Source organism: Homo sapiens, chromosome 7, assembly GCF_000001405.40.
Source record: "Homo sapiens chromosome 7, GRCh38.p14 Primary Assembly".
NCBI lineage: Eukaryota > Metazoa > Chordata > Mammalia > Primates > Hominidae > Homo > Homo sapiens.
The window spans coordinates 35,105,675-35,118,403 of NC_000007.14; the positions used below are offsets into that span (position 1 = coordinate 35,105,675).

Sequence of the window (12,729 nt, forward strand, 5' to 3'; positions counted from 1 at the left end):
TCACTTACTGACCAGCAAATCTACATGGTGGCAGATGGCCACCAGTCACAGGGCGAAGGGTGCCTGCCCTAATGGACTGTAGCTGATTAGCTCAGCAGGCTAGAAACCAAATGCTTGTTATTGTTAAATGAATGCAATTTAATTTAATTCTGTACTATAGTCATAAATCAGCCTTCTAGCTTTTAAATCCTTATTACTATTCAAAAGTAACAGCAGATGAAAGAGTGAGAAGGATCGGCAGAAATTTATCACAAATGCTGAACAACTCACTACTGATGGTGCATCAGCAGCAAGGTTATACCTTTGTCAATTACCCTCAAACTAGAATTTAATACACAAGTCTACCAGAGATTAAAATGAAAGCTTTACCTCACTGTGTTCAAGGAGCTGTTTTCTAGAATAAAACAAAAATATTATCTATTTACTGAAGGTCTTTTATACTATGAATACATAAAAATAAGCTTCATTTGTTTGATCTTAGATTTTTAAAATGTGACTATCTCTAAACTACTTAGGAACATACATAAAAATAAAAATATCAGATAATAGTACAAAAATTATAACAATTTAAAAGTTATAGTCATAATTTATAGTCATAATTTATAGTCATAATTTATAGTCATCCTATTCAAGATATGTCAAAAATTTGTTCTTTGGTTAAGACAAAATAGATTTTACAGATCCCTGGAGATTGTACCTCTCATTAATAAATGAATAGGATGACCTTCTATTCGACCTATATATACAGTGTATACAGTACTTTAGATGACCACTGTTAAACTTTTGAGTTATTTTCATTTTTCACAATTACAAATAACACGGACACTCATGCATAAAACTTTGTAAGCATCTCTGAATATTTCCGTAGCATAAATTTCCAGAAGAAAAATTATTGGGTAAAACATAAATATTTTCAGTTTCAGCAAAGTTGTCCCTTTACAAAATATTTATAGTACACCTACTGTATTCTAGGCACTGTGCAATGAAATGAATACCACAGTCCCTGCTTATCCTCTGATCCTCACTTTCCACAGTTTCAGTTACCTGTGGTCAACTGCAGTCCAAAAATATTAAATGAAAAAAGTTCCAGGAAATAAACAATTCCTAAGTTTTAAATTGTGCACCACACTGAATAGTGAAATCTCAAGTCACCCTGCTTCATCCTACCTGGGACATGACTCACCCTTTTGTCCAGCATATCCATGCTGTATACGTCACCAGCCTGTTAGTCATGTAGTTACCATCTTAGTTATCAGATGGACTCTGGTGGTATCTCAGTGCTTGTTTTCAAGTAACCCTTTTCTGACTTAATAATGGCCCCAAAGTTCAAGAGCAGTGATGATGGCAGTTGAGATATGTCAAAGAGAAGCTGTAAAGTGCTTTCTTTAAGGGAAAAGGTGAAAGTTCTCAAAAGAAAAAACATCATATGCTGAGGTTGCTAAGATCTACGGTAAGAACAAATCTACCCATGAAATTGTGAAGAAGAAGGAAAAATTAATGTTAGTTTTGCTGTTGCATCTAAAACTGCAAAAGTTATGGCCACAGTCCATGATGAGTGCTTAGTTAAGACGGAAAAGGCATTAAATCTGTGGGTGGAAGACGTGCACAGAAATGTGTTCCGATGGTGGCAATCACGTGTGTTACTCTCTGCAGTTTCAAGCATCCACTGGGGGTCTTGGGATGCGTCGCCCTGCAGATAAGGGCAACTGCTGTGCAGCATGAACAGTATGGAGACAATACTTATCTTCATGGAGTTTATATTAGAGTAAGACAAGAGGTAGGAGACTGCCTATTTTATTGTTCTCTTGAAAAGACTGGGTATTTTACTTTTATGAAAGGCTTTATAGCCTGCAGGGGCATTCTAATATGGATTTTGGGGGTGAAGAGAGAAATAGGTGTAGAAAGTAAGTTCAGGGGTGCAGAGACCCATAGGTTTTTTAAAAGAGAAGTCAGGGGAAGGTCTCTTAAGGTAGTAGTGGAGTCCAAATTATTCTATGTCCCTTGTAGCTCCTACCCTTTGTATGCAGTAATTTTTTTTTAAATCGAAGACAGGGGAAGGTCTCTTAAGGTAATAGTAGAGACCAAATTATTCTATCTCCCTCGTAGCTCCTTCCCTGTGTATGCAGTTAACGGAGTGTGGTTTCCCCACTTGTCCCGAAATCTTCTAGGCACAACAGATTCCTGTAGTGAGCTGCATGCAAGGAAGAAGCCTGGTAGGTGAGTAATTATTATAATCACCAAGAACCCTGAAAGTAACTACTGATACTTTATTTAAATCAAGTAGCTAATTAAAAATGTGAATATACAACCAAATCCCAAGACACGAATATCATGAAAAGGAAACATCAAAATAAATAAGCAAAAAACTTGACCTTTCATGAAACAGCTAATGCAAATGAAAACTCCAATTATTGTTTTCACAGAAGTTTAAGAGGATAATGCATCCATATAATTAAAATAAGCTCCAGTGAAAAGGAGTTTTCAGAAATTCTAAGAAAAATATATTTGCCTAATTTAAAGCCTCAAAAGAAAGTTGAAGAGCAAAATGCACACAGCTGAAGCTGACAGTATTAAAGACTCAGTGATGATATTCTCTGAGAACACAGAAAGAAAAGAAATAGATAATATGATAAAAGCAATAACAGAAATTCAAAAAAGAGAGGCTAAAGTGAAAGAATAAGAGAACAACAACAACACACACATCACCCCTCCAAACCTTATGAATTTCCAGAGAGAAAAACTATATAGGAATTTTCATCTGTAATGCTCAATGCTAGAACACAAAGAAGCAATGTCAACAAAATGTTGAATGAAACTCACAAATATCTATTAACCAATCTATCAATCAAATATGAGGGCAAAATAAAGCCATTTTTCAGGTAAGAAAGCACCCAGAAAGCATGCCAATTCTACATGTCAAGGAAAAATAAATCAGTAAAATTTGAAGTCAAGTCCAAAGATTGCTGGTGTCTTTAATGTAAATGTTTAGAGACTTCTTAAAACATAACAGATAAGACAACAATCTAGAAAGTAAATTTCAGCATAACCTGGAAGGAGAGGGTGTCTAGGCAGGGACAAGTAGAAATATTCCAACAGCTCAGTGCTGAAGCAAGCAGGTCTCTAGGTACAGAGCCTGAGTATGAATTCTGCCTCCACTACTCACTGGCTGTGTGCCTTTCAGAAAATTACTTACCTTCTTACTGGTTTCCTCATCTGTAAATAATGGGAATAACTGACTCCCTTCTCACAAGGTGACTGTGAAGATTTATTGAGTTAATACTGGTAAGAAGCTTAAAATACTGTCAGACACACAGGAAATAATAACTGTTAGCTACTATCGTTGGTGGTAACAGGTTTTAGATGCTGATGAATTCTTAATATCAAGATGAATATATTTGCTAATAATTTAAGAGAAACCACCAGGAAATATAGAAATGGGATATAGCTAACAATTCAGCAAGTATCAAGAAAATAATTTTTGAAAAGCATGATGAATAGAAAACATAAAATCAGATGGCAGGGAGAAGTACAAACACAGCAGTTATCACCGTTAATATGAAAATGGGTTAAATTCACCAATTAGAAAACGAGTATTAGAGGAATTTGAATAGAAAAAATCTAACAATGAGAAATATACCTAAACCAAAATGTCACAAAAATGTTAAAAAAAAAAGCATAAATACAGGTAAACCAGGAAAATCTATAAAAAAGAAAGCAGAGGTGGCAATATTAATTTTACACAAAGAAAAATTTACAGCAAAAAACCACTAAGTAAAGCAAAGAATATCCTTTATAATAAAAGTACAATCCTATAATAATCATGCAATGAACAACAGCACTATCTATATAAAGCAAACACTATTAAAATTATGAGACAATTTTGAAAAATTCATTTTTAATGTTGCATGTGAAGATAGCATTCTAAGAAAACAGAAAAAGTAGAAAAATAAGAGACCATTTAGAATAGCACTATTAATAACATGATATAACATGTAACTTTGAACTTCCCCTAAATAAGAAATGAACATTTAAAAAATCCTCACAGAGCATTTACTAAAACTGAACATCCATCTCAATAAATAGCAAGTTAATTTTAAAGGCAAAATATACAACAGAAGAAACTAGTTAGACATTTTTAAAAATTATCATTATCATTATTATTATTATTGAGACGGAGCCTCGCACTGTTGCCAGGCTGGAGTGTGGTGGCAATCTTGGCTCACTGCAACCTCCGACTCCTGGGTTCCAGCAATTCTCCTGCCTCAGCCTCCCGAGTAGCTGGGATTACAGGTGCGTGCCACCACGCCCAGCTAATTTGTGTATTTTTAGTGGAGACGGGGTTTCACCATGTTGGCCAGGATGGTCTCGATCTCTTGACCTCGTGATCCGCCCGCCTTGGCCTCCCAAAGTGCTGGGATTATAGGCATGAGCCACCGCACCTGGCCTAAAACTAGTTAGACATTTTAAGACATTCTTCTAAGTGATTTTGGATTAAATGATCAAAACTCAAATCACAGACTACACAGAAATCAACATTAATGGTAATGCTACACACATCATGGGATACAGTGTGCATTTTCTTCAGAGAAAAAGTTATAACTTTAAATGTATTTACTAGGACACAATAATGATTGATAATAAATGATGTGAACTTTAGACACAGAAAAACAACAAAAGTGCACCAAAAGAAAAACTAAGGACATAAACATGTAAGCAGAGATTAATAAAATGGAGAACAACTTTCATAAATATAAGGAATAAAACCAAAAGCTGATTTTATGAAAAATCCAAAAAAGAATGGACTCGTTATGGACTAATGCAGCTGGTGACTTTCGGTTGAAGCCAATGTTCATTTACCACTTTGAAATTCCTGAGGCCTTTTTTCAGAATTATGCTACATCTACTCTGCCTCTACTCTACAAATGGAACAACAAAGCCTGGATGACAGCACATCTGTCACAGCATGATTTACTGAATATTTAAAACCCACTCTTGAGACCTACTTCCCAGAAAAAAAGATTCCTTTCAAAATATTATTGCTCATTGACAATGCGGCTGGTCACCCAAGAGCTCTGATAGAGATTGACAAGGAGATTAAGGTTGCAGGAAAGCAGGCTGGATCAAGGAGTCATTTCAACTTTCAAGTCTTGTTATTTAAGAAATATATGTCATAAGGCTATAGCTGTCATAGATAGTGATTCCTGTGATGGATTTGGGTAAATTGAAAATCTTCTGGAAATGATTCACCATTCTAGATGCCATTAAGGATATTTGTGATTCATGGATGGAGGTCAAAATACTGACATCAATAAGAGATGGGAAGCAGTTGATTCCAACTTATTTTCTACTTTATCTGTCATTTTCTTAGAATGTTTTCTTCTCATATAATATTAAAAATGATTCCAACCCTCATGGGTGACTCTGAGGGGTCCAAGACTTCAGCAGAGGAAGTCACTGCAGATGTGGTGGAAACAGCAAGAGAACTTGAATTAGAAGTAGAGCCTGAAGACGTGACTGAATTGCTGCAATCTCATGATAAAACTTTAATGGATGAGGAGTTGCTTCTTATGGATAAGCAAAGACAGTGGTTTCTTGAGATAGAATCTACTCCTGGTGAACATGCTGTGAACACTGTTGAAATGAAAACAAAGGATTCAGAAGATGACATAGATTTGGTTGATAAAGCATGGCAGGGTTTGAGAGGACTGACTCCAATTTTGAAAGTAGTTCTACTGTTGGTAAAATGCTATCAAACAGCATTGTATGCTACAGAGCAATTTTTCACGAAAGGAAGGGTCAATCAATGTGGCAAACTTCATTGTCTTATTTTAAGAAATTGCTACGGCCACCTGATCAGTCAGAAGCTATCACCATTGAAGCAAGACCTTCTACCAGCAGAAAGATTACAACTCTAATGTACATGTCAGGATAGACATTATCCAAAAAAAAAAAGGTAGTAAGTGTTGGCAAGAATGTAGAGAAATTGAAATCCCTGCACAGGTGGAATTTCAAATGGTGCACCTGCTATGGAATATAGGATGGAGGTTCACCAAAAAAATCTTTAAAAAATTAAAAGTAGAACTACCATAAAATCCAGTAATCCCACTTCTAGGTATTTATCCAAAACAGTTGAAATCAAAATCTCAACAAGATACTAGCACTCTCATGTTCACTGCAGTGCTATTCATAGTAGTCAAGATGTGGAAACTGACTAAATGTCCATCAACAGATGAATAATGAAAATGTGGCATACATAAACAATGGAATATTGTTCAGCCTAAAAAAAAAGTAGGAAATTCTTCAATGTGAGACAGCATAGATGAACCTGAAGGGCATTATGCTAACCAAAATAAGCCAACCCCACAAGGTATATAATGCAAAATTCCATTTACATGAGGTATCTAAAATAGTCAAAGTCATTTTGACTATAAAAGTCAAATGACTATAAAAGAGTGAAAGAGTGGAATGGTGTCACCAGGGGATGAGACGAGGGGAAATGGAGAGTTACTAGTCAACAGGCTTAAAGTTTCAGTTAAGCCAGATGAATAAGTTCGAGAGATAGACTATAGAATGTTATACATATAGTCCACAATACTGTATTATACAATTAAAAAATCATTAAGAGGGTAGATCACATGTTAAGCATTCTTACCAAATTTTAAAAACAAGTGTAGTTATTAATAAGGAGAAAAAATATAAAATAATCCCCAAAATATTTTTAAAGCCATTTTTTAAAAATTTAACATTCATTTTTTACTGCTTTATTGAGTTACAATTCACACATTATACACTTTCAACATCTATCTTTAATTTAATTTTTAAAATTATCCTGGTTTATATAAACCAAAAGGAAACTTTCTTTTTTTTTTTTTTTGAGACAGAGTCTCACTCTGTCACCCAGGCTGGAGTGCAGTGGCGTGATCTCAGCTCACTGAAACCTCCGCCTCCTGGGTTCACGCCATTCTCCTGCCTCAGCCTACCGAGTAGCTGGGACTACAGGTGCCCACCACGACACCCAGCTAATTTTTTGTATTTTTAGTAGAGACGGGGTTTCACCATGTTAGCCAGGATGGCCTCAATCTCCTGACCTCGTGATCCGCCCACCTTGGCCTCCCAAAATGCTGGTATTACAGGTGTGAGCCACCACGCCTGGCCAAGGAAACTTTCTTAATGAAATAAAGGCTATCTATTATATAATAACAGCAAATGAAACAGTGAGACACTAAAGGCATTCTTCACTTTAGAGTCAGAAACAAAATAAGGGCAAGCCCATCATCACTGCAATTCAAAGTTGTTCTGGAAGTTCTAGCTAATACACAAGACAAGAAAGTAAAGAAGTATAAATATTAGAAAGTTATTACTATTTGTAGATTATATGATAACCTGCCTAGAAAATCCAGAGCATCAATGGAAAAACTATTAGAACCAGAAAGAAAGTTTGGTAACGTGGCTAGATAAAAACGTGTTGCAAAAAAAAAAAAAAAAAAAAAAAAAAAGTAAAGCAGCTTTCCTATAAACTAAAAGATCAATATAAGAGACAATCTAAAACAGACTCAAGTACAATGAGAACTGGTAAGTGATAAAAGCTGACTTTTGGAAAAAAGATTTATGCAATACTGTGATGGGACAATACCTCATTAGAGGGGGAAAGGTAGACTCCTCTATGTCACTATACCACAAAATTAATGCAAGAGTAATAAATAACCTATATGTGAATAGAAACTTATGAAAGAAAATATGAAAAAAATATTTTCATGTTTTTGGTTTAGGGAAGTGTTTCTAAGCAACATATCAACCCAGAAAAAATATATAACTGTGATTGTACAGAAATTTTGAAGTTCTACAAAGCAGAGACCATAAATGAACTATAAGTTGACATCTTGGAAGAAACTATGTAATACACATAAGAGACAAAATGTTACGTCTATGGAAAAAGCAAAAACATAACACATGGCTGGGCACAGTGGCTCATGCCTGCAATCCCAGCACTTTGGGAGGCCCAGGTGGCTGGATCACTTGAGGTCAGGAGTTCGAGACCAGCCTGGCCAACATGGCAAAACCCTGTCTCTACTAAAAATACAAAAATTAGCTGAGTGTGATGACGGGTGCCTGTTATCCCAGCTACTCCAGAGGCTGGAGCAGGAGAATTGCTTGAACCCCAGAGGCAGAGGTTGCAGTGAGCAGAGATTGTGCCACTGCATACACAGCAGCGAGACAAAAAAACAAAACAAAACAAAACAACAACAACAAAAAAAAAACCCACAAAACAACTTTTAAAGGTCAAAAAGAAACATAGTAAACAAACACATGAAAAGCTGCAAAACTCCACTGACAAAGAATTTACACAATAAAATGAATTGTTTTTACCTATCAGAAAAAATTAAAAGCTTGATAACGATGTTGGTGGAGTTGCAGAGAAATGGACACTCTCATCATTATAATTTCTCAGTTTTAACAAATTCTAAAATATGCAGGCCTCATAATCAGCAGTCCAAATTCAAATATTTTATACTATAGAAATACTTAGAATAAGTGTACCAAGATACACGAACCAGGATGTTCAATCCTCAAAACATTGGTTTTTTTTATGACAAAAGTTATATATAATCTAAACTTTCATTGATATGGGAAAGGCAGTCACGCATGATGGTCAACAATAAAATCCTAAGACCATTATAAAATATAATGAAGATCAAGGAAGAGGCCCAAGACACACTATTAAATACAAGTAACAAGTTGCAGAATAAGAAGAATACAATTCTATTTTTTAAAAATATTGTGTTTCTATATGTGTTTTCTAAAATAAAACATACAAAGCTACTTACAATCAGCACCCAGGGGAGCAGATCTAAGAGAGGGGAGTATTCCCTCTCTTTCTGATACACTGGTTTTTCAGAATGTATTACTACTAGCCCCTGCTATTATTATTTTTGAGATTTAACCTGGAACCCTCTGCCCCTACACAACAGGCCTGTCACTTTCAAATATGTAATCAATACATAGACTTCCATATTCTGAGTAATTATCTTCCATCCACTGACCCCTCCGAGTCTGTCGCTTCCACATTACACCCTCTGCAATATATGAAGACAGTTGCCACATACCCTTCAATCTTCTATTATCCAATTAAATATCCCAAGTCCCTTCATGCACTCCTTATGGGAACAGTGTCCAGGGTTCCCCATTCATTCTTTTTTAGAATGCCAAGACACATTTCCCTGGGCTCCATCTGTCCTGAACAATATAGAATGGGTCTATTATCCCTTTTATTTTGGAAACAATTTCAACAGATGCACCTAAGAGCTTAATTAGCTCTTCTGACAACCATACACAGCTGTTTATTAAAAATACAAGCATGGAGTATGGAGTTCATAGAAATTCTTTCTACTGTCTTCACAATTTTTCTATAAATCTAAAACTATTCTATAAAGTAGAAGTCACAAAATAAAATCAAATATTCTATTTACAAATATAAAATGTAACTTGAAAATTACTATTAGGTACTATGCTCACTACCTGGGTACAATATACACATGTAACAAGCCTGTACATGTGCCCCCTGCATCTAAAATAAAAGTTGAACACTAAAAAACATGTCATTTGAGATCATATTTCCCTCAGAAGGAAATTTTCTTCACAATTTACTTCTTGAGTCTTGTAGCAATTTACTTATGTGTGACTGATATGATACATTTTGCTGGCATCTGCTTATGCTAGTGACATTACTAAAAGCATCCAAAAATGTTATACAATAAATAGTTTTAACAATAAGTTTAGAAGAAAATTCATAAATATTCAGGAACACAAATAATTATACCCCCTCTGAAAGTTAAAAAAGAAGGAAAAAGAAAAGCCTGACCAACATGGTGAAACCCCCTCTCTACAAAAAAATACAAAAATTAGCTGGGCATGGTGATGCACACCTGTAGTCCCAGCTGCTTGGCAGAGCTGAGATGAGATGATTGCATGAGCCCAGGATGTCCAGGCTGCAGTGAGCAGAGATCATGCCACTGCACTCCAGCCTGGGTGACAGAGCAAGACTCTGTGAAAAAAGAGAAGAGAAGAGAAGAGAAGAGAAAAGAAAAAAAAAGAGAAGAGGAAAGACAAGACAAGACAAGACAGAGAGAGAGAGAAGGAAGGAAGGCAGGAAGGAAGGAAGGGAGGAAGGGAGGGAGGGAGGAATTCCAAAAATTGCCAAGGTAATTTATAGATTCAATGCCATCCCCATCAAGCTACCAATGAGTTTCTCCACAGAACTGGAAAAAACTACTTTAAAGTTCATATGGAACCAAAAAAGAGCCTGCATCGCCAAGTCAATCCTAAGCCAAAAGAACAAAGCTGGAGGCATCACACTACCTGACTTCAAACTATACTACAAGGCTACAGTAACCAAAACAGCATGGTACTGTTACCAAAACAGAGATATAGATCAATGGAACAGAACAGAGCCCTCAGAAATAACGCTGCATATCTACAACTATCTGATCTTTGACAAACCTGAGAAAAACAAGCAATGGGGAAAGGATTCCCTATTTAATAAATGGTGCTGGGAAAACTGGCTAGCCATATGTAGAAAGCTGAAACTGGATCCCTTCCTTACACCTTATACAAAAATCAATTCAAGATGGATTAAAGACTTAAACGTTAGACCTAAAACCATAAAAACCCTAGAAGAAAACCTAGGCATTACCATTCAGGACATAGGCATGGGCAAGGACTTCATGTCTAAAACACCAAAAGCAATGGCAACAAAAGCCAAAATTGACAAATGGGATCTAATTAAACTAAAGAGCTTCTGCACAGCAAAAGAAACTACCATCAGAGTGAACAGGCAACCTACAAAATGGGAGAAAATTTTCGCAACCTACTCATCTGACAAAGGGCTAATATCCAGAATCTACAATGAACTCAAACAAATTTACAAGAAAAAAACAAACAACCCCATCAAAAAGTGGGTGAAGGACATGAACAGACACTTCTCAAAAGAAGACATTTATGCAGCCAAAAAACACATGAAAAAATGCTCACCATCACTGGCCATCAGAGAACTGCAAATCAAAACCACAATGAGATACCATCTCACACCAGTTAGAATGGCAATCATTAAAGTCAGGAAACAACAGGTGCTGGAGAGGATGTGGAGAAAGAGGAACACTTTTACACTGTTGGTGGGACTGTAAACTAGTTCAACCCTTGTGGAAGTCAGTGTGGTGATTCCTCAAGGATCTAGAACTAGAAATACCATTTGACCCAGCCATCCCATTACTGGGTATATACTCAAAGGACTATAAAGCATGCTGCTATAAAGACACATGCACACGTATGTTTATTGTGGCACTATTCACAATAGCAAAGACTTGGAACCAACCCAAATGTCCAACAATGATAGACTGGATTAAGAAAATGTGGCACATATACACCATAGAATACTATGCAGCCATAAAAAAGGATGAGTTCATGTCCTTTGTAGGGACATGGATGAAATTGGAAATCATCATTCTCAGTAAACTATTGCAAGAACAAAAAACCAAACACCGCATATTCTCACTCATAGGTGGGAATTGAACAATGAGAACACATGGACACAGGAAGGGGAACATCACACTCTGGGGACTGTTGTGGGGCAGGGGGACGGGGGAGGGATAGCTTTAGGAGATATACCTAATGCTAAATGACAAATTAATGGGTGCAGCACACCAGCATGGCACATGTATACATATGTAACCAACCTGCACATTGTGCACATGTACCCTAAAACTTAAAGTATAATAATAATGAAAAAATAAATAAATAAATCTTTAGCTTACTGACTTTAAATTCTAATATATATTATAATTTATCAATTTAAACTTTGAGTTAGTTCACAAATATAAATATCTCCAAAACAAGTCCAAATACATATAAGAAATCTGTAAGAATAATATTTTTAAGGAAACATTTAAGTTTGGTTCATATCTCCTTTCTTAATCATAATGCTAAAGTTTAATGCATATTCATTTGAAAAATTAATGTTATAGTATGTTATTTAATAATGGAATACTGTATGTTTTAAAAAGAATGATGATATAATTACCTTAGATAAATGTTTGTAGCTAAAACACACGAAATATCACGAACAGTCTGTGAATAGAATCAAATCAATGAAACTTTTGTAAGGAATACTGCAATATTTAAAATGCTCTGATTCATTTATATAAACACTCCGCCAAAGAAAGAAGTATTTTTTAATGTTTAAGGGAGTCCTCAGGAACAGGACAGTCATACTATAAGATGCCTTCCTTTTCTCCTTCCGAGAAGTGACTTCACATCATTGAAAACTAAATGACCATCAGAAGTATCCTTGGGGTGAAAAATAAGCCGCAATAGGACAAATAAAGACTGGGGGGTTTATAAGAAAGCAGAAAGGAAGGAGTGAAACTTGGCTGGCTTGCAGGGATGAGAGAGAGAGAGAAAGAGTGTGTGTGTGTGTGTGTGTGTGTGTGTGTGTGTGTGTGTGTATGAAACTTGGCCGGCTACAGGGATTTGTGTGTGTGTGTCTGTATGTGTGTATGCATGTATGAAACTTGGCTAGCTGTAGGGATGTTTGTATGTGTGTGTGTGCGTGCGTGTGTGTGTGTATGAAACTTGACTGGCTGCAGGGACGTGTGTGTGGGTGTATGTGTGTGTGTGTGTGTGTGTGTGTATGCACATGCCCCTGCTAGTGCACATGCATAATTCAGGTTGTGGTGT

General features: G+C 36.1%; 1 long non-coding RNA gene and 1 pseudogene across 3 annotated transcripts in view; one reads left to right on the forward strand and one right to left on the reverse strand.

Moving 5' to 3' along the window:
• Positions 1 to 5,408, forward strand: part of LOC105375228 (uncharacterized) — a 74,297-nt gene extending 68,889 nt beyond the window's left edge. For both annotated transcript variants that reach the window (XR_001745162.3, XR_001745164.3), the window contains exon 3: positions 1,654 to 5,408. This is a non-coding gene — a long non-coding RNA (uncharacterized LOC105375228). The remainder of the gene's footprint in view (positions 1 to 1,653) is intronic.
• DPY19L2P1 (DPY19L2 pseudogene 1) overlaps positions 1 to 12,729 on the reverse strand; it is a 106,187-nt pseudogene that overhangs the window by 25,686 nt on the left and 67,772 nt on the right. Inside the window, exons 16-17 of the transcript NR_002833.3 lie at positions 12,074 to 12,120; positions 370 to 394 (exon numbers count right to left, since the gene is read on the reverse strand). The product of NR_002833.3 is annotated as a DPY19L2 pseudogene 1 (transcript). The remainder of the gene's footprint in view (positions 1 to 369; positions 395 to 12,073; positions 12,121 to 12,729) is intronic.